Source organism: Homo sapiens, chromosome 1 (assembly GCF_000001405.40).
Source record: "Homo sapiens chromosome 1, GRCh38.p14 Primary Assembly".
Classification (NCBI taxonomy): Eukaryota; Metazoa; Chordata; class Mammalia; order Primates; family Hominidae; genus Homo; species Homo sapiens.
The window spans coordinates 101,036,671-101,059,046 of record NC_000001.11 but is presented as its reverse complement, the minus strand read 5'-3'; the positions used below and the strand labels follow the sequence as shown (position 1 = coordinate 101,059,046).

At 37.8% G+C, this 22,376-nt stretch overlaps 1 long non-coding RNA gene across 1 annotated transcript in view, besides 1 other annotated feature; it reads right to left on the bottom strand.

Annotated features, from left to right (window-relative positions):
• Positions 1-22,376, bottom strand: part of DPH5-DT (DPH5 divergent transcript) — a 61,534-nt gene that overhangs the window by 28,333 nt on the left and 10,825 nt on the right. The window lies entirely within an intron of this gene.
• Positions 4,914-5,414: an enhancer, noted in NCBI's record as "H3K4me1 hESC enhancer chr1:101519189-101519689 (GRCh37/hg19 assembly coordinates)". NCBI's record gives its function as "activates a minimal SCP1, AML or CMV promoter by ChIP-STARR-seq in naive H9 embryonic stem cells {active_cell/tissue: H9 hESC(naive)}" and the evidence as "EXISTENCE:reporter gene assay evidence [ECO:0000049][PMID:30033119]".

The window sequence follows — 22,376 nt, the reverse complement described above, 5'->3', positions numbered from 1 at the left end:
TAAAAGTAAATCAAATAGATTATTTCTCTTACCAAAATTGCATTAAACTAAAAATTAATAACAGAAAGATATCTGAAAAAATCTCTAAATATTTAGAAACTTAAAAAAACCCTTCTAAACAATCATGGGCTGTAGAAGAAATCATAAATAATTTAAAATATATTTCAAAAATAGCCAGGCATGGTGGCATGCACCTGTAGTCTCAGCTACTCAGGAGGCTGATGGGGGAGGATCACCGGAGCCTTTGAAGGTTGATGCCACAGTGAGCCATAATTGCAACAGTGCACTCCAGCATGGGTATCAGAGTGAGACTCTGTCTCAAAAAATTTTTTTTGAATCAAATGAAAATGAAAACATCAAAACCTCATTAACCATAGCTAAAGCAGTTCTTAGGGGGAAATTTATAGCATTTAATAATTATATTAAAAAAGAAGAAAGTTCTAAAATTAATGACTTAAGCATATACCTGAAGAAATGAGAAAAAGAAGAACAAATGAAACCTAAAATAAGCAGAAGGAAGGATATGACAAAATTTATGGTATAGTTCAATGCATAGAAAATGAACAAACAAGACAAGATATCTTCTTTCAGCCCAACTTTGAAAAGATTAATCAAATTAATAAATTTTGTGATAGACTGAACTGGTCATATAGTTGTTTTGATTTCTCTGTCACTCACAGCAATCACCAACTCCAATCTTTGCAATGTCTTTCTCATCTGTTCAATGTTTTCCCTTAACAAAATCACTTCACCACCTGACTTTTGTATTACCTCCCAAAGAGAGATCACTCTCCATCTAACTTGTTTCCTTACCTCTAGACTCACCTTCCTAAAAATCCTTCATATATAAATTGGCTCATTTATTTATCCAAAAGTATTATGCAGCACCTACTATGTACCAAGTAATGAACTCTTCACTGAGGTGAATACAACATGGTTCCTGCTATCGAAGATCTATCGAACGTCTCAGTCCAGTGAAAGAGATTGGCATTTACATAAATAAATGTAATTCAACAAAATCAGTATATTACACCTAACATATGTGAGTGTGTGTAGTAGTAGTAGTAGTAATAGTAGTAGTAGTCCGTTCTCATACTGCTATAAAGAAATACCTGAGACTGGGTAATTTATAATAGAAAGAGACTTGACTCACAGTTCCACATGGCTAGGAAGTCCTCAGCAAACTTAGAATCATGGCAGAATGCAAAGAGGCAGCAAGGACCTTCTTCACATAGTGGCAGGAGACAGAAGAGCATGAGCAGGGGAAATACCAGATGCTTTAAAACCATCAGATCTCATAAGAACTCACTCACTATCACAAAAAGAGCATAGGAGAAACCACTCCCATGATCCAATCACCTCCCACCAGGTCTCTCCCTAGATAAGTGGGGATTATGAGGATTACAATTCAAGATGAGATTTGGGTGGGGACACAAAGCCTAACCATATCAGAAGGTTAAATGGTTTCAGGGTCTCAACACTGCCCTTTGTAGAAACTGGGAGCATAGTTAAGTGCACTGACTGAAAGGAAGAATACCTGGGTTCAAATCCCAGGGCCATCACTTACTAGGTGAGGGTTCTTGGGTGACTTCACCTCTGAATGTTTATTTTTTCATCTGTAAAATGGTGAATTTAAGAATTAATAAGTTAATACATAAAATGTATGTAAACTGTTTAGAGCAGAGCTTGGCATATAGAATCCACTATATAATTATTCTTGGCTCTGGGTAACCTACTGCTCTGAACTGTCATTTCTTGATCTGAAAAAGGACACAAATTGATAACCTCTATGGTCCCTCACAACTGTAAATGCCAATGTTTTGAATCTTAATATTATAAAATCAAGCCATATAGTATCTCAAGAAACATATTCTAGTATATTGAAGTTTTATTTAAATCTATTGTTATTTAACAAAGCCTAACCATGTGAGAACAGCCTATTTTCTCCAGCTGAGAAGGCAGTGTTTAATTACATTCTAGTGATTTAAAGTAAGTTGAACAAATCTGTAAAATAAAAAGTTGGAAAGAAAGGTTTTAAATATAAATGTATAATCTGAATATATTGTCTCCATGGATGTATATTTATTCATTGATTTGCATAAACAAATAAAACTAAATCAAGACCCACAGAAACAAAGCCATTTCAATACCAGGAAACTTCACTTATTTAAGCTGTATTTACCCTCATGAAGACTCCCACAAAGGGTGATATCATGCTGAATTTAACCATGCTAAGGAAGAGCATCAAGTTGCATTTTAACATTCAAAGCTTTGAAATACACATGCCATCACAGAAATACACATTTTGTAATTGACTAGGATTTAATCACTTGCACACTTTTATTAAAAGAACTATTTTTTAGTAGGCTTACTCTGAAAGAGTGTGAAATTATAGGTTCTAACTACACTAGACTAAATTCCTTGGTGGGCCTAAAACATTTTCTGTAAGAAAATTATCAAATACACTTTGGATTCCAACATGTTGGCTACAGTCAATTTTAATTATAAGCTTTTCAGATTTGCTTTTGAAAAAAATGGATCTCTTGGATAAATATGTAACTGACATCTACAACTTAAAATCAGACAAACACTCAAGTGGATACTATTTTAAATAATATATGATTAATAATAGTCATTTGTTTCTTGAACTGTTACTGGAACTGCTGAATGCAGTCTGTCCCCTTATTTCAGAGAAACAGGTATGCTGTCTCCTATCCAACTAACCCCCTCACAATTATACCTGATAACCTTCCCTCTGTCACCCACTTTTGCCTAAAAATATGCTTAGGTTACATAACTATATAATATCTGTGTCTATATATCTATTTCTGAATCTCTATTTCTGTATAATTTATCATGTGTCCAAAATGGAATGTTTTTTTCTCCCCACCTCACTCCTTTCTCTCCTTATTTCTAATCTGAGTTAATGGCATCTCTACTCCTAATCATCCTATGTATGAGCTGTTCTTCATTCCTTTCTCACTTTCATCTTGACTTAATCAGCCACTAAACTCGGACGGCATTTTCCTCCTTAGTAACCCTTGGATTTAATCCTTTCTCACCACTTCCACTGCCTTAGGTTAGAATCTCCATATTCATCTCTTGCATGGATTTTATTCTTACCTGATTATAGTAATTTTTTACCTGATCTCTGTGTTCAACACAGTACTTTTCTTTCATATTATTCTGCACAGTTCACAAAGATTATTGTTCTTGTCATAACTGTTGCATCATATTGTAATTTTTGGTTTACATGTTTTGTCTTCCCTTCTGGATTTGGAGTCATTCACTACATTTGTCATTCACTACATGCTCAAATGAATAAGCATGATGTTCACTATTTTCTTTAAAATAAAGATCTACTAAATTTGCTAAAATAAATTACACTTTCCTGGAGAATCAAACTGATGAAGAAAATTAGACCATTGAATCTAGCTATATTTTTCTTATTACTATTATATTTATTGTGACTCAGTTCTTTCCAAAACAGATGTTTTTTGTTCAATTTCTGTTTTTCTCTAGAGACAAGGTCTTGCTCTGTTGCCCAGGCTGGAGTGCAGTGGTATACTCATAGCTCACTGCAGTCTTGAACTCCTGGGTTCAAGTGATCCTCCATCTCAGCCTCCTAAAACTACAGGCATGTGCTATCACACCCGGCTAATCCAGTAAAGGTGTTCTTAACCTGGGATCCATAAAGACTTCTAAGAGATGTATGAACTTTCTAATATTTTATAGGAAACTTTTTGTATTATTTTTGTGGTGAACGACCATAGTTTTCACCATATTCTCAAAGAGGTCTGGGTTGCCTATGTGCTTAAAGCGCACTATGGTGGGTTTGTATCCCAGCTCCACTACTTACTGACTGTCGTACCTTTGGCAAGTTCTTTTACCACTCAGTGTCTTACACAACTTTCTCATCTTTCAATTGGGGGATAATAAGAGTAATGGCCTCATAAGGTTTTTGCGAATATTTAACATGTATGTAAAGTCTTTAGCATACGGGCTAAGTGGCTATGTGGCTCTTGCTAGAAAAATGCCTATAATATTTTTTAAAATACAGAATTTAAAATTACTGTTACTGAAAACATAGGATTTAAAGGTAAAAAGATAGGTCAAAGTTGGAAATTTAGGTTTAGAAGTTAACATAGAAGCAGTGATTAAAATCACTAGATTGGGAGTGGTCCCAGTGGGAGAAAGAATGAAGAGAAGGGCAAAGGGTTTTGGATTAATCCCACAGTAAAGTGAAAAAGGAGGGAAAAGAGCTCATGAAGATCTTAGTGGACTCTTAAAATTTAATGAAAGAATTTTATTATGAAAGATACGAGGCCTGTGTAGTTCCAACACTTTGGAAGACTGAGGCAGGAGGGTTGTTTGAGGCAAGGAGTTCAAGACAAGCTGGCCAACATAGCGAGACCCTGTCTCTAAAATAAGTAAAAATAAATTTTAAAAGGTACAATTAAGTCTTCCTTAAAACAAGGAAAATGAGGAATATGAAGGGACTATGAATTTTGTACTAGTTTTCTAGTAACAAATTACCACAAACTGGGTGGCTTAAAACAACAGAAAATTATTCTCTCACAATTCCAGGGGACAGAAGCCTGAAATCAAGGTGTCTGCAGGGTCATGCTCCTTCCAAAGGCTCTGGGGAAGAATCCTTCCTTGCCTCTTGTTTCCAGTGGCCTCAGGCAGTCCCTGGTATTCCATGGCTTAGAGCTGTGGCATCACTCCAGTCTCGTCTTCCTTCTTCACATAGCCATTTTCCCTCTGTGTGTCTCTATGTCCAAATTTCCCTCTTCTTTTTATGATACCAGTCATTGGATTTAGTGCCCACTCTAATCTAGCATGACCTCATCTTAATTGGATTACATCTACAAAGACCCTGTTTCCAAATAAGGTCACATTCATAGATTCCTGATGGACATGGATTTTGGGGGAACAGTTTTCAACCAAGTACAAAAAACTTCAGCTGCTTCAGAGTTCAGATAAAGTTATGAAGAATAGCTCAGAGATCTCTACACAGGATAATTAGGTGTAGAGTTGCCATTAATTGAGACTGGAAATAGGGAGAGAAGGGAGTTGAGGTGGGGATTTAAAAAACCATTTCATTTGGACATGCTGAATTTAAGATGGGATTGGGACATCAATATAGGGATGCATAGTAGTTGAAAATGTTGATTAGGAGTTCAGATAAAAGACTGGCCGGGCGTGGTGGCTCATACCTGTAATCCCAGCACTTTGGGAGGCTGAGGCGGGCGGATCACGAGGTCAGGAAATCGAGACCATCCTGGCTAACACGGTGAAACCCCATCTCTACTAAAAATACAAAAAATTAGACGGGTGTGGTGTTGGGCACCTGTAGTCCCAGCTACTCGGGAGGCTGAGGCAGGAGAATGGCGTGAACCCGGGAGGCAGAGCTTGCAGTGAGCCAAGATCGCACCACCGCACTCCAGCCTGGGCGAAAGAGTGAGGCTCCGTCTCAAAAAAAAAAAAAAAAAAAAAAAAAAGACTGAGGTAAATATTCTGAGGTAAAAGATATACTATGAACATAGTTGAAGAAGTGAAACGGAAGAATTATATAGACAGTGCATGATGAATAAAATGATAAAAGGATTTGTAATCAGAGTTCTCCAGGAGAACAGAACAAATGTAGTTGGTCCTCCGTATTGGTGGGTTCCACATCTGCTGATTCAAAAAACTATGGATTGAAAATATTTGAAATATTGTATCTGTAGTGAACATGTACAAGCTTTTTTTCTCTTGTCATTATTGCCTAAATAATATGGTATATTTACATAGTATTTACATTGTCTTGGTTATTATAAGTAATCTAGAGATGATTTATACAGGAGGATGTGCATAGGTTATATGCAAATACTATGCCATTTATATCAGGGACTTGAGCTTCCTTGGCTTTTGGTATCGTAGGGAGGACATAAAACCAATCCCTCATAAATACTAGGGCATAATTGTATCTGATCTGTATCTGTACATGTATACGTATATGAGAGTGTGTATTTTTTTAAAGAGATTTATTTAAAGGAATTGGCTTGTGTGGCTGTAGGGGCTGACAGTTTGAAACCTGTAGGGCAAGAAGTCTGAAATTTTTAAGGTGGGCTGATCAGCAGGCTGGAAACCCAGAAACTCAAGCAGGAGTTAATGCTGCAGTTTTGAGACAAAATTTCTTCTTCCCTAGGAATTCTCAGTTTTTGCTCTTAAACCCTTCCAACTGAGTGCATACAACCTACTGCATTATCTCTTTTAAAGTCAACTGATTGTAGACGTTAACCTTATCTACAAAATACTTTTCACAGCAGCATCTAGATTAGTGTTTGATTAAATAACCAAATACTACAGCCTAGACAAGTTGACACATAAGACTAACTTTCACAGGAGTAAAGAACAAATCTAACAATTAACAGGAAAACAAAGGTATAGAAATACAGATGCTCCTCAATTTATGATGGGATTCTGTCCCAATAAACCCATCATAAATTGAAATTGTCTTGAGTTGAAAATGTATTTAATACACCTAACCTACTGAACATCATAGCTTAGCCTACCCTACCTTAAATGTGCTCAGAACACTTAAATGAGCTGTCAGTTGAGCAAAATCATCTAACACAAAGTTTATTTTATGTGTTGAATAGCTCATGTAATTTACTGAATACTGTACTGAAAGTGAAAAGAAGGGATACTCAAAGCACACCTTTTCTAAACATGTATCACTCACCATCATAAAGTTAAAAATCATAAGCTGAACTGTTGTAAGTCAGGGACTGTCTGTACTGACAAGTAGTAGTCAGAGGGGCAGAGAACTTGAAGAAAGGGATCAGAGAAGCCAAAAGGCAGAGATCATCAAGATGATCAACCGTGTCAAGCCCTATTAAGAGGTCACATAAGTTAAGAGCCTAAATTTCTTCGTGGAATTTGACACTTAGTTAATTGTGACCTAGCATGATCTGCTTCAGTATAGTTTAGAGAAGGAAGCAGGATAGCAATGAGCTGATAAATGAAAGGGAGTTGAGGGAGTAAGGACATTATTGCAATACATTTGTAGAAACAATAATTGAAATGTTCTAAAAACCATTTTCCCTTCCTTCTACCACCAAATTATTTGGGTCTTCCCCCAGGGCTAAAACCACTCCCTGAGGGGATAACCCAGCAACAGGTGCAGTCACGGCTGTTCAGATGCCAAGCATTATGGAAATTAGTTTCATGTCACAGATGACAAATTAGACATTATTAGTAATACTTTAAGATATATTAGAGAATCCCTAGAAATTTTTTTTAATTTTTTTGTATAAAGACATGGAAATATATTCATTATCAAATAATATTACTTTAAAAAGTTAGCTGTCATCTATATTCTTTTCTGGTATCAGGAAAGATTGCAACTATCTGTGACATACCCAGTTTTGTTAAGTGGTCATACTTAAAGTCTGGCTGATTAAAAACAAACACACTTCATATAGAGTACACTTAGGACAAATGGGTGCATAGGATTATTTCATCATGATTAAATAGAACTTAAATTGGTTGTTTATCAAGGTAAATATTCATTTGTCTCTAATGCAGTCAAGAAGAACTATTACTTGGAATAAAAATGCCATCTAAAATACTTAACTTTCACAATTGGTAGAAAGTTTTTTGACACATAATCTTAATATCTATTCAGTAAGAATAATCTTATGTATGTTTCTTCTTAACTAAAAATATATACACAAATTATTTGGGCCTCCCTAAGGCCAAAACTATTATCTGAGAGGCTTCTTCTAGCATTCATGAGAAAGTCCATCGGCTCTATAAATTAAAATTTACAAAATATTTCTTTTGTTAAGAGTGACCTTTCTGAGCCTCTCCTGGCTATGAAAGGTCACTCTTAACCTCAGACTTACAGCTATTGTTATCAGTCCTCCACATTAAACAGCTGTTGTGTTTGGATGAAAGCACTGAGTCTAATTTCTACCAAAAAGAACTGATCATTTCTGAGCCTTTTTCTATTTGTAATCAGTCAAAAATTGCTGAGTGTACATTACATGCAAAATACCATGCTAAACATGGTGGAAAGAGGACCGCATGAGTGGTGGCAACCAAAATGCAATGATAAAATACAATCCTCCTTACAAAGATTATGATTAATCTGTTTGGTTCCTTTCACTTGAATGCAGCCAGGCCTAAAATGTAGTTGGCATTGAAGATAAAGATAAAAGTAAGACAATAATCAAGTCCTCTGACTTTCAAGGATTTACATCTAACTTTAATCTATTTATTGATCTGATTCAAGGAAATAGAAACTTAGCATATTAAAGTTGAAGGACCCATAGATAGGCAAAATAACACAGTGGTTAAAAGCTTTGGAACCAGATAGAGTCAGGGTCAAATCCCAGAATTAACACTCTGAATTTTAGTTTCCTCATTAATAAGATAGGCAATATCACACACACACACACACACACACACACACACACACACACACCCCAATTGTGAAAACTTAAAACATCTAGTGTGGTTCCTAGTATATGGAAGATAATCAATAAAATATAGTGGTTATTATTATTAGAACATATATAGTCCAAACCTCTCATCTACTAGATGGTAACATTTGAGTCTCCAAAAGCATGTCTAAGGCGAGTGGCAGACAAGTTAGGAATAAATTCAGAATGCTTTAACTGGGGCAGGCTTCACTCTGAGAACTAAGCATTTCCTCAAAGTGTGCTGGTGCGCATTTCATATATTCCACATTAGTCTAAACATTCAAAACATTTATTTAATTCTTAATACTTTACCTAAAATAACAATAAGCCACACTTTACTTCTTTCAAGATCTGCACAAATACCAATATTTGGTCTCAGAGTCAGCAACTATTTAATATCATAATTCTTTCCACTGCTTTTCATTAGAACATGGTTTTCTTTAAAAAGCTAGACTTCATAGAAAAATACACCTGTTTCAGTATACTTTCAACTGTCTTTAAGTCTACCTTCCCATTTGTCCTTTGTTTTTCTGCTTTTCTCTTCCACTACTCTTTATCATAATATAGAAACACAGTATATTCCTCCGCTATTGAGGAATGTATTGCACTGATTTACCTTCACTATTCCCCTTGGCTCATCTCTATTTTCAGTACTGATGGATCACATCGGTACAAGTGTAGCTGAACTACTGATATATGGGCCAGCTTTTGAATTTCAGGGCACCCAAAGGAAAATGATGAGGTGCAGAGATTACTTGGAGGCCTGGGTCTGGCAGTGGAAGAGATATCTGAAGGGGCAGTCAAGTAGTCCAGGCCCTTAGGCCTTACTGGAATGATCTATCCTTCAGACCCTACTGTATTTCAGCCTGTAAATCCTAAACTGCTTTTCTATCCCCTTCTCACTGATCTCTGAAATATGGGGTACTCTGGACAGAGCTTAAATTTTGAAATCGGTTGAACTAGGTTCAAAAACTGAGTGTCAGACACTTACTAGCTTTGTGTCTGTGATCAAGCTGCTTAACCTTTCTAAACCTCAATAGACTCAACAGTAAAAGGGAGCTTAAACCTATTTACCAGAGTTATTATTATGGTTAACTGAGATAATGAACATAAAACATCTAATTGATAGTACGCTCCTCTCATGATCCTAATTTTGACTTGACAGTTTGATGCTGATCTCCTGTATCCTTTATTTTTATTACTCAGTTATAGGCATTTAATTTATGATGAAGGTAAATTGAAGAGAACATGATTTATTGATTTTATTTTTAGACAAGCAGCTTTCCATTTGGAAATTATTTTTTACCCTATCACATAACATGCCATTTTAAAAAATAATGCAATATGTATAATGGTATCCAGAGGTACTAGTTAACTAAAGTGCTAAGCAAGATCTTTGCTCTAGATTAGTCCTAGGAATATTTTGATTGTAAGTTATGTGAATACCAAGTTTTTGTTTTATTTTGCTTAATAAATTTACACAGTGAAATGCACAGATTTATTTTATTATTTTATTTTAGATTCAGGGGGTACATGTGCTTGTTTGTTACATGGTATATTGCATACTAGTGAAGATTGGGCTTCTAACATGCCCATTACTCAAATGGTGAACACTGTACCCGATAGGTAATTTTTCAACACTTGTCCCCCTCCAACCTCCCCCTTTTGGAGTCCCCAGTGTCTATTACTTCCATCTTTATGTCCATGTGTATCCATTGTTTAGCTCCCACTTATAAGTAAGAACATGCAGTATTTGTTTTTCTGTTTCTGAGTTAGTTTACTTAGGATTATGGCATCCAGCTCTACATTGCTGCAAAGGACATAATTTCATTCTTTTTTGTGGCTGCAGAAATGCAATCTTAAGTGCAAAACTGGATAGGTTTTGACAAGTGGATACACACATATAACCAATAACCAATCAAGATTATCACTCTGGGGCTTGGCACAGTGGCCAGCCTGTAATCCCAACACTTTGGCAGGCTGAGGCAGGAGGATCACTTGAGCCCAGGAGTTTGTGACCAGCCTGGGCAATATAGTGAGATCTCATCTCTACAAAAAAATTTTCATAAAAAGATTAGCCAGGTGTGGTGGCTTGTACCTGTAGTCCCAGGTACCCAGGAGGCTGAGATGAGAGGATTGCTTGAACCTGGGTCGAGGCTGTAGTGAGCCAGGATTGTACCACTACACTCCAGCCTGGGTGACAGAGTGAGACCCTGTCTTGGGAAAAAAAAAGGGGGGTATCATCCTGGAAATTTCCCTAGAGCACCTTTCCAATCAAGCCTCACCCCTGTAGGCAACCACTTACTCCATCAGCATAGGTTAGTTTTGCCTTTCACATTATAAAATTTCACATAAACAGGATCAAACAGTATTTATTCCCTTGCATCTGGCTTCTTTTGATCAATATAATCTTTCTGATATTCAGTCATCTTTCAGATTGTATCAGTTGATCATTTTTAAATCGCTTATAGTATTCTGTCACATGATTGTATCGCACATATATTTTTAATCCATTCTCCTTCTGATTGGTATTTCCATTGCTTTCAGTTTGAGGCTATTACGAATAAAACTGCTACAAACGCTCTTGTGCAAGTCTTTTTGTGAGCACATGTATTCACTTCTCTGAATAAATACTAGGAGTCAAATGAGTTAGGCCACAGAGTATACGACAATTAACTGCTAAACAGGTTTCCAAAGTCCTTTCACCATTTTACACTATGCCAGTTATGTATGAGAATTAATTTTAGCCTTGTTATATTAATTTGCATTTTTCTAATAACTAATGATGCTGCACACCTTCTTCCTGTGATTACATACATGAATATATCTTCTCTGGTGAAGTGTCATTCAAGTCATTTTAAAAACCGGGTTGTCGTATTTTTAAGCAGTCGAATTTATTTATTTGGATGTAAGTCCTTTGTCAGATACACATATTTTGAATATTTTATCTCAATCTCTGGCTTGACTTTTTTCTTGCAATATATTTTGGTAAGCATCTTTTAATTTTAATGAAGCCCTATTTATCAATTTTTTTCTTTTAGGGTTAGTGCTTTTTGCCCTCTGTAATAAATTGTTTTTAAATTTGTTCTTTAGCTTAAAAAAGTAATAGTTAATGAATAAGAATGTATTTCTACTAAAATAAAAATTCAGTAAGATATTTTGTGAATAAATTTTAGATCAAACATGTATTATACCTTAAAGTTTGCACTATTTCATTGTTTTAAAGTTTTAAACACAAAGATTCAAAGTGGTCACAAAGAATAGCAGAATTAAAGTAATTTAATTTCTATTTCTTTGCCTTTACAATAACTGTGCTATTGTTTATTTTGAATCTATTACTTAAACAAAGGATTATGTAGAATTATCACATGGGTTAGAGAGTCGAACTAAATCTGAAGAAAACTCAAACTATTTCTAACCATTATAAATCCTAAACCAGAGTTTGGTGAACTTTTTCTGTAAAAGGCCAGATAGCAAATATTTTAGGCTTTGCAAGCATTATGGTCTCTGTACAACTACTCAGCTCAGTTGCTATGGTGTGAAAGCAGCCACAGACAACACATAACTGAATGAGCATGACTGTGTTCTAACAAAACTCCATTTATGGACACTGATATTTGAATTTCATAACAATTTTTACATCACTAAGTACTGTCGTTTTTATTTTTTTAAATCATTAAAAAATATAAAAGGCCGCGCTTGGTGGCTAACGCCTGTAATCCCAGCACTTTGGGAGGCCGAGGCGGGCAGATCACGAGGTCAGGAGATCAAGACCATCCTGGCTAACACGGTGAAACCGTCTCTAATAAAAATACAAAAAACTTAGCCGGGCGTGGTGGCAGGCGCCTGTCGTACCAGCTACTGGGGAGGCTGAGGCAGAAGAATGGCGTGAACCCGGGAGGCGGAGCTTGCAGTGAGTGGAGATCGCGCCACTGCACTCCAGATATATATACCATTCTTAGCTCATGGGTTGTACAAAAACAGGCAGTAGGCAGATCTGGCCCAGGGGTTATAGTTTGCTGTCCCATGGCCTAGAGAAAGTTGTTTCTGTCAGTGTTTCTTGTTGTCCCCTTTTGTGAGACAGGTTTATTTCTAGTTCACCCCAAACGTGCTGGTAAAGCCATTTGGGTACAGATCTCTTTACAACAGAGGTATCATTAGATTCTTCGGTAGGCTTTAGACTTTGTCACCTCCCTCAATGTGCAAATTGAGCTCAGGGTAAAGAAAGAGGATTTTGCACAAATCCCTGGAAAAGGCAGCTTGAGTCCTACCTTATCTCTCTGGGTTTCTGTATTCATTTTGCTTTTGACCTGTGAATTTCTTAAATTTCTTCTCAGCTCAGTTACATATTTCTTCCAGCATCTGTGGCCATTTTCAGTAGCAGAATTATACAGGGTATTTTGCCATCCTGCTAGAAACAGTGACCCTCCAATCACAAGTGATTTTTACTCACATTACTTAAATCACTGTGTTTGTCCACCCTCTTTTCTTACCTTACATAATTTTTCAAAGTTTTGGAGGTTAATGTCTTAGAGAGACTTTTCAATTCCTTCCCAGGAATTATACTTTACACTCGGGCTTTCTTAATAAGAAAGTGTCACTATTGGTACAATGAGTTTAACTGGGCTACTTAGGATACCTATAATGCAAGCAGAAACTTTAATCAAGATTTAATTAGTTTAATTGTAAATGAAACCTAGACATACTTGTCTATTATAAATAATAGATTTTAAATTTATTAAATCAGTAATATCAAATAATAGGAAATAACACTTAATGGATAAAGATTACTCTATTGAATCTGTTTGATGTAGGCAGAATTTCACAGACCATCAGCTTTATAAGGATCATTCAGTTTTATTTTCTTAACTGTCCACACTAACACAATTTCTGAAACATTCACCAAATAAAATATGTGTAATCTACTTTAGAGATAGTTGCAAATTCTGATAAATTCTTCCTGTATGAATAACCTCTAGCAGACTTTTCCAAATGGAAATTAATGCTGTCAACTCAATTTTATAGTGCCATTCAGACTTCTAATCTGTACATGAATTCCAAATTCTTTGGACTTTTCTTAATGATCATATGATTAAAACAGATAAATGAACAAGAATTCTGGACTACCAATATAATTTAGGTTTTGCAATTTTAGTTTTGATGGTCAGATATGTTTTTTATTTTAGGTGATCAAGGCTGTTATTGTAAAGAAGGTACTGTAATCCCAGCACTTTGGGAGGCTGAGGTGGGCGGATCACTTGAGGTCAAGAGTTTGAGACAAGCCTGGCCAACATGGTGAAACTCCGTCTCTACTAAAAGTACAAAAATACAGGCATATTCCTGTAATCCCAGCTCCTCAGGAGGCTGAGGCAGGAGAATCGCTTCAACCCAGAAGGCAGAGGTTGCAGTGAGCAGAGATTGTGCCACTTCACTCTAGCCTGGGTGGCAGAGCTAGACTCCATCTCAAAAAAACAAAACAAAACAAAAAAAAGCATGTAGCTGGCCTTTGTCCCTGGTCCCCAGGAGAGAGACTGTAAGTTCTTGAAATTTCTCCATGATCAGAGTGTCTTCATTATTTATGGTGGGCTAATGATAGTTTAACCTAATGTGATGACTCAAGATGGGGGCTGGACATTCCAGAAAGGGCAACCATGTAATTAGAAGGTTGGTACTTTCAGCCATGTGATACCAGCCTGACCTGCAGGGAGGGAAGAAGTATGGAGGTTGAGTTCCACTGCATGGTTATGAGTCAGTCAATCATACTTACATAATAAAACCCCAATAAAAACTCCAAACACCAAGGTTCAGGTAAGCTCCCCTGGTTAGCAATTGTCACACAACAATCTACCAGAAGATGATGAATTTTAACTCCATGGAGAGAGGACATGGAACCCTCATATTTGGGCCATCCCAGACCTCATAAGTGTTTCTTCTTTTGGCTGGTTCTGATATGTACTCTTTTTGATATAATAAAAGTTTTATCATAATTATAGTGCTTTCCTGTATTCTGTAAGTCTAATAATTCTTGTTAATGATTGAAACTGAAGGGTTTGTAGCTATCCTCATGTATTTGTAAACAGCTGATCAGAAGTGAGAGTAGCCCTGGAAGCCCCCAAGCTTGTGGCTGGTGTCTGAAATGAGGGCAGTCTTGTGGAGAACTATGCCCTTCACCTGTGAAGTTTAGCTTACCTCTGGGTAATTCAGGTCAGAATTGTATTGCAAAGGCTTTATCATATTATTATCACTTGTAGTTACATTTACCCTGAGGTACTTTCTCATATCTCTAAGTTCATATAGGAGTTGGGGCCATTTTAAAAGGGTGAACCTATTTTGCATTATACAATGAAAAAGAAACCACTGTAATTGCAGGTACTATTGATTATTTTTGAAGTAAATTAAATACAGACATTATTCATCGAACAAACTTTTATTAAATATGTTCCACAGTTACATTCTACTTGTCAGGATACAAAGATAAAGCACATAATTCCTGCTGTCAGAAAGCTTATAGTTTAGGAAACACTCAGAGAAACCATTATAGTTGAATTAGTCAGTGCTATAAAAGAAATACGAAATAGGATGAATAGCAATGTCAGATGAGTGGATGGGGAAGAAAAGCAGAGGCTTGGAAGTAGTGACATCAGGCTTCAAGAATGAGAACTGCACAGGAGGAAAAGGTCAGAGGGGGGAAAGTGGGTAGCATGGAAGGTAGACAGTAGAGTGTTCCCTGAGACCTGATATAAAGTTGACTAGCACACAGGAGAGGCAAAAGTTGTGGTTTCACAGAAACACTGGGGCCAGATCATAAATTGACTTAAATACACTGTGTACATATACTTAAATACATTTTATCTTGAATGTAATGGGAAGCACTGAAATGTTTCAAGCAGAGGAATAAAATAAAGATGTGTTTCAGAAAAAGAAATCATTTTGGGAGCAGTGATGAAGATGAAGATTAAATGTCAGATGAGACCGGAATCAGTCTTAGGAAGTGATGAAGCAATTCTGGAGGAAAGAAATAAGGTCTTGGAATTACAATAGGAAGAGGAAAAGGGAAATCAGAAAGAAAAGCATATACAGTGGGGAAAGGGGAGTTGAGTTTTGCACACACAGTATTGAGGTGCTGTGGAAAATGCAGTTGAATATATGGGATGGCAGCTCAGGAAAGAAATCCCAAGTAAAAAAACATATGAAACTCATAACTTTAGCTGGGCATTACGTGGCTCACGCCTGTAATCCCAGCATATTGAGAGACTGAGGCAGGGAAATCACTTGAGGCCAGGAGTTTGAGACCAGCCTGGGTAACATAGTGAGAACCCATCTCTGCCAAAAAAATAAAAGGTAGCCTAGTATGGTGGCATGAACCTGCAGTCCCAGCTACTGGGGAGGCAGGAGAATCACTTTGGCTCATGAGTTTGAGGCTGCAGTGAGCTGATCATACTACTGCATTCTGGCCCAGGTAACAAAGTGAGACTCTGTCTCAGAAAAAAAGGAAGGAAGGAAGGAAGGGAGGGAGGGAAGAAGGGAGGAAGGGAGGGAGGGAGGAAGGGAGGGAGGGAAAGGAATGAAAGAAGGAAGGAGAAAGAGAGAGAGAGAGAGGGAGGGAGGGAGGGAAAGAAAGAAAGAGAACGGAAGGAAGAAAGGGAGGGAGGGAGGAAGGAAGGAAGGAGAGAAAGAAAGAGGGAGAGAAAGAGAGACAAAGAAAAAAGTAATAATTTTAGAAGTGATTTTGGAGCCATGGGAGTAAATAAGATCACCAAGTAGAAATTTTGTAGAGTGAGGGAAGAATAAGATCTAGAATGGAATGCTGAGAATACCAGTAGTTGAGGAGTAGACTAACTTAGAACAGATAGAAAGAAATTCAAGAGAAAATGGTGTCAGACAAACCATGGAAGGATTGGTCAGCAGAATCAAAACATGCAGAGATCCAGTAGCAGACTGTCACTATTTTAATAATATGTAGATCATTAGAGTTCATGGCAAAAACAGTTTCACTGTAGTAGGGGTAGAAGTCAGATAAAATGAATTAAGAAAACAGCAGAGATGATGAAGAATTTGAGATGATCTCTGAACATTTCTTCAAAACACTTGTGATGAAAAGGAAAAGTATTGAGAAATAGTTAGAAATGGGCAATGATTAGAGGGCAGTTGTTTTGATTATTTTTAAGATGGGAGTATTCTAATATGCTGAAGGGTAAAAGTCAGTGGGGAAGGAGTAGCTGAAATTATGGAAGAGGATAACAGGTCTCTGTGAAAGTGGGAGAAGAAATTCAGAAAAGGGGTAGAGGGATCTGTGTTTGGCAAGATGAGGAATACTGTATTCTGAGTGAAAATAAAACAAAACAATGGTGGGAAGGGTGTTAGAAAGAGAACACTTAAATTAAAACTGGAAGATGAAATTCACTGACAACGGAAATACTATTGAGCCTGCTAATCTTTGAAAATGATACAAACCAAGTAACAATTTATATACATTCTCTACAGAGGAATATCATGCATAAATAAACCAAAGAGTAAGAAAGAGTTCCATGCTGTGTTTCCTTTTAACTATTGAAATGAATATGCAGGTTACGAAAAGTTTCATAAAAAGTCCATGAAAATGGAATAAATTCATCCTGTAACTAAAATTTTACAATACAACTGATATGGTTTGGCTCTCTGTCCCTACCCAAATCTCATGTTGAATTGTGATCCCCAGTATTGGAGGTGGGGCCTGGTAGGAGATAATTGGATCATGGGGGTGGTTTCTAATGCTTTAGCACCATTCCTCTAGTGCTGTCTTGTGATAGAGTTCTCACAAGATCTGGTGTTTTTTAAAAGTGTATAGCACATCCCCCTTCTACCCCCTCTCTCCTGCTCTGGCCATGTGAAGAATGTGACGGCTTCCCCTTTGCCTTATGCCATGACTGTGTGCTTCCTGAGGCCTCCCCAGAAGCAGAAGCCTGTACAGTCTGCAGAACTGTGAGCTGATTAAAACTCTTCTCTTAATAAATTATGCAGGTTCTGGTATGTCTTCATAGCAATGTGAGAATGGGCTAATACAGAGAATTAGTACCAGGAGTGGGGCACTGCTATAAAGATAGCTGAAAATGTGGAAGTAACTTTGAAGCTGTGTAACAGGCAGAGGCTGGAACAGTTTGGAGGGCTCAGAAGAAGATAGGAAGATGAGGGAAAGTTTGGAACTTCCTAGAGACTTGTTGAATGGTTCTGACCAAGATGCTTATAGTGATATGGACAGTGAAGTCCAGGCTGAGGTAGTCTCAGACAGAGATGAGGAACTTATTGAGGACTGGAGTAAAGGTCACTCTTGATATGCTTTAGCAAAGAGACTGGTGGTATTGTGCCCCTGCTCTAGGGATCTGTGGAACTTTGAACTTGAGAGAGATGATTTGGGTATCTTGTGGAAGAAATTCCTAAGCAGCAAAGCATTCAAGGTGTGGCCTGGCTTCTTCTAAAAGCTTATGCTCATTTGCATAAACAAAGAAATGACCTGAAACTGGAACTTATATTTAAAAGGGAAGCAGAGCATAAAAGTTCAGAAAATTTGCAGCCTGGCCATGTGGTAGAAAAAAAAATTCATTTTCTGGGGAGGAATTCAAGCCAGCTGCAGAAATTTGCATAAGGTAAGCTGAATGTTAATAACCAAGACAATGGGGAAAATGCCTCCAAGCCATTTCAGAGACCTTCTCAGCAGCCTCTTCCATCACAGGCCTGGAGGCCTAGGAGGGAAAAATGGTTTCGTGGGCCAGGCCTAGGGACCCACTGATCTGTGCAGCCTCAGGACATGGCACCCTCTGTCTCAGTGGCTTCAGTTCCAGCTGTGGCTAAAAGGGCCCCAGATATGTCTAAGGCCACTGATCCAGAGAGTACAAGCCACAAGCCTTGGCGGCTTCCACATGGTGTTAAGCCAACAGGTGTGCAGAGGGCAAGAGTTGAGGCTTAGGAGCCTCCACCTAGATTTCAGAGGATGTACGTAAACATCCGAAAGTCCAGGTAGAAGTCGGCTGTAGGGGCACAGCCCTATGGAGAACCTTTACTAGTGTACTGCAGAGTGGATATGTGGGGTTGGAGCCCCCAAACAGAGTTGCCACTGGGGCACTGCCTAGTGGAGCTGTGAGAAGAGGGTCCTCCAGACCCCAGGATGGTAGATCCACTGACAGCTTGCACTGGGTGCCTGCAAAAGCCTCAGGCACTCAACACCAGCCTGTGAAAGCAGCTGTGAGGGCTGTAACCTGCAGGGCCACAGGGGCACAGCTGCCCAATCCCTTGGGAGCCCATTCCTTGCATCAGTGTGGCCTGGATTTGAGACATGGAATCAAATGCTATTTTGGAGCTTTAAGATTTAATGACTGCCCTGAAGGGTTTTGGACTTGCATGGGGCCTGTAGCCCCTCATTTTGGTCAATTTCTCTGTTTTGGAATGAGAGAATTGTACCCCCATTGTATCTTGGAAGTAACTAAGTTGTTTTTGATCTTACAGGCTCATAGGTGGAAGGGACTTGCTTTGTCTTGGATGAGACTTTGAACTTGGACTTTTCAGTTAATGCTGGAATGAGTTAAGACTTTGGGGGACTATTGGGAAGCCAGATTGTTTTGAAATGTGAGAAGGACATGAGTTTTGGGAAGAGCCAGGGTAGAATGATACGACTTGGCTCTGTGCCCCTACTGAAATCTCATGTTGCGTTGTGATCCCCATTATTGGAGGTGGGGTCTGGTGGGAGGTGACTGAATCATGGGGGGTGGTTTCTAATGGTTTAGCACCATTCCCCTAGTGCTGTTGCATAATAGAGTTCTCACAAGATCTGGTTGTTTAAAAGTGTGTGGCACCTCCCCACTCCCCTCACCTGTTCTGGCCACCTGAAGGCCATGCCTGCTTCCTTTTTGCCTTCCACCATGATTTTAAGTTTCCTGAGGCCTCCCCAGAAGCAAAAGCCTGTACAGCCTGCAGAACCATGAGCCAATTAAACCTCTGTTCTTAATAAATTAGCCAGTCTCAGGTATGTTTTTATAGCAGTATGAAAACTAATAAAAGAACCTTGACAATTTCCATAATGAAAAAAGCAAAGCCACTCTGAAAGGGCAGCATCAAGTAGCTGGCTAGAATTCTCACAAGGTTAGTGACTCATTCCTACATACCAACCCCATAGGGCACTTGCGTCAAAGTTATGCCTCTGCAAATTATAATACAAATTAGTACAAGTGATGAATCTTCAAGGTTGCTTGCAAGCTAGGAAATTAAATCCAGAATGTCAAGTGCCTACTCTACTTCATTCAAAAGAAATATTATCACTATGTTCTAGTACTGTGACAGTCACAAAAAGGAAGAGACATTGTCTCTATCTCTCAGAAGTACAAAGTCCATTGGTGAATCCACAAATAATTAATTACTCTAAGACAGCATGTGTTATTAGACATAGGAATGGAAACAAAAAAGACATCACATTATGTCTGGGAGCATAAGAAAGATTTCCTGGAGCAAGGAATGTCTAAGATGACTCTTGAAAATAAATAGAAATCTACCTGGAAGATGGTCATGGGAGTTCTCTAGAGAGTGAAACAGCATGTGCAAAATGGTGATGGCAAGAAAAACCCTACTTCTGGAAGTGAGTTCAGCATGGCAGGAGTAAAAGGTATACAATAGGAGAATGGAGAAAGGACTGGAAAGATAGGCAAAATCTAAATAGTAAGGGTCTGTATATTATTCTAAGGAATTTGAACTTTTATATAAGATATCATAAAAGGATTAAAAAGTTTAAGATTATATGATAAATCTTTTTAGAGAAAACACAATTGCAGTGTAAAGATGGTCTAGGGCAATACTTGAGATAGGGAGACTAGTTAGCAGGCTACTCTATAGTGTAGGTGAAAAAGGACACAGGCCAGAATTAAAGCTTGAGCAGTGGGCATGGAGAATACTGGAATGATTCAAGAGATAAGCAAGAGACAAAATTGACAAGACAGAGCAATTACCTGAGAACACTCAGGGTGATTCTAGAATCTCTGATTTGAGTAACTAGATGCATCCTGTGTGATTAAAGCATTAGATCATAGATCTTGGAGCAAGTGTTATATTAGTGCCACTGTAGTTCCAGCCAACAAACTAACTTGAAACAAATTTTTTGAATGGGGCTCATGTAGTGGCTGAAATATTTTTACGTTATTGTTAGTAAAACTGTGGTTATTCAGGAGTACCAGAAAAGAATAAACGAGATCCTAATTATAAACATTAAAACTTAAAGTACAGACTGTAATAAAGGGATGGGCCTAAGAGGACAGAGAGCTGGTCAAACACACCTACACTTAATGGGATGAGGCTGAATTCTTCCAGGCCCTCAGAAACAGCAACTAGACTGTAGCTTAAATGGTATTTTTAACGGAAAGAACGAATGTGAAAAGGTTAGTCCAGAAAACAGAGTTCAGCAAGGGCACTTACAGGGCTCAAAAGAATTCCATTAACTAGGACACTATGTAGAAGAAAGATATTTTCTGCATCTTCCAAGCATCTAGGTAATTAGACCCACTTACCTGTTATGATTTTATGTTCATCAAGTAACCTGCAAACTGGCATCTGAAAGAAGGGATGTCCTAATTAGAAATACACATTACTGGCCCGGTGCGGTGGCTCATACCTGTAATCCTAGCACTTTGGGAAGCAGAGGCAAGCAGATCACAAGGTCAGGAGTTCAAGACCAGCCTGGCCAGCATGGTGAAACTCCGTCTCTACTAAAAATACAAAAAAATTAGCCAGGCATGGTGGTGTGCACCTGTAATCCCAGCTACTCAGGAGGCTGAGGCAGGAGAATTGCTTGAACCCGAGTAGCTGAGATTGCTTCACTGCACTCCAGCCTGGGCGAAAGAGCTAAACTCCATCTCAAAAAAAAAAAATAAATAAGAAATACATATTACTCACCTCTTCCTAGACCCTAATAGAAGTGGATAAAATGGCAGCCAGACTTTTGTATACCAGAAACAGATAAACATAGCTAGTGTTAGTCCATTGCTAAGCAACTGGTATTGTGGGTATCCTAAGAAAAATCCAGTTAGCGTGTTTGTAAGGATGAAGGTCAACTGCAATGCTGCAATGCTGTCCTATCGGCAACATGTCTGGGCTTCCTGGACAACATTACACCGATTTAGTCTTTCTAAACCATGACATAAACAAACTTTGGTTATCTTGTGATAAGTCATCTAAACCATCAAGAATCCAGAAATAGCTTCCATGTGTTACCTAGATATTATAAACAATAAGGTCAGATCAAGCTATTAGAACAGTATCCAGTTTAATTAATCTTTTTCCTCCTTTTCTGCCTTACTGCTTGCACTTCTATTATAGCATGTATCACTGTACATATTGTGATATCCCTATAGGGCACAGGTGTGCTGTGTTCTTCATTTGAATATAATCCCTAGATGGTACAAATAGTGATTTATGCTTCTTTTTATCCCTGAGAATAAAGAGCACATAGCCTTATGCATGAGACATAGTAAGCATTTGTTGGACTGAACAAGACACAATTAAGGTCAACTAGGTATCATACGACTTCAAGTTAGTTGTGCAAGGAATTAAGCTAAATCTCTTCATGTGATGACCACTGAAGAATGTGCAAAAATCTGTCAAAATGTGATGCTCCAAAAATAAATAACTCTAGCTCTCAAAAGGCTTTTTGGGAAGGGAGTGCAAAAGTATTTCAAATGATTTTCAAAAGTGAGTAATAATCTCAACTCTCTTTGCCTATTTATTTGTCTATCTGGTTGCAAAAGAAAAATCCCATAGCTCATTCCAGTTTTGTTGAAATTTCACCATTAAATGGAATTTACATTTATAGTCATCAAATATTATGACAGCTCTAGAAAGACTAAATGAGAGGTTTTTAAGGATCCATTTCTACATAGTTTTAAACAT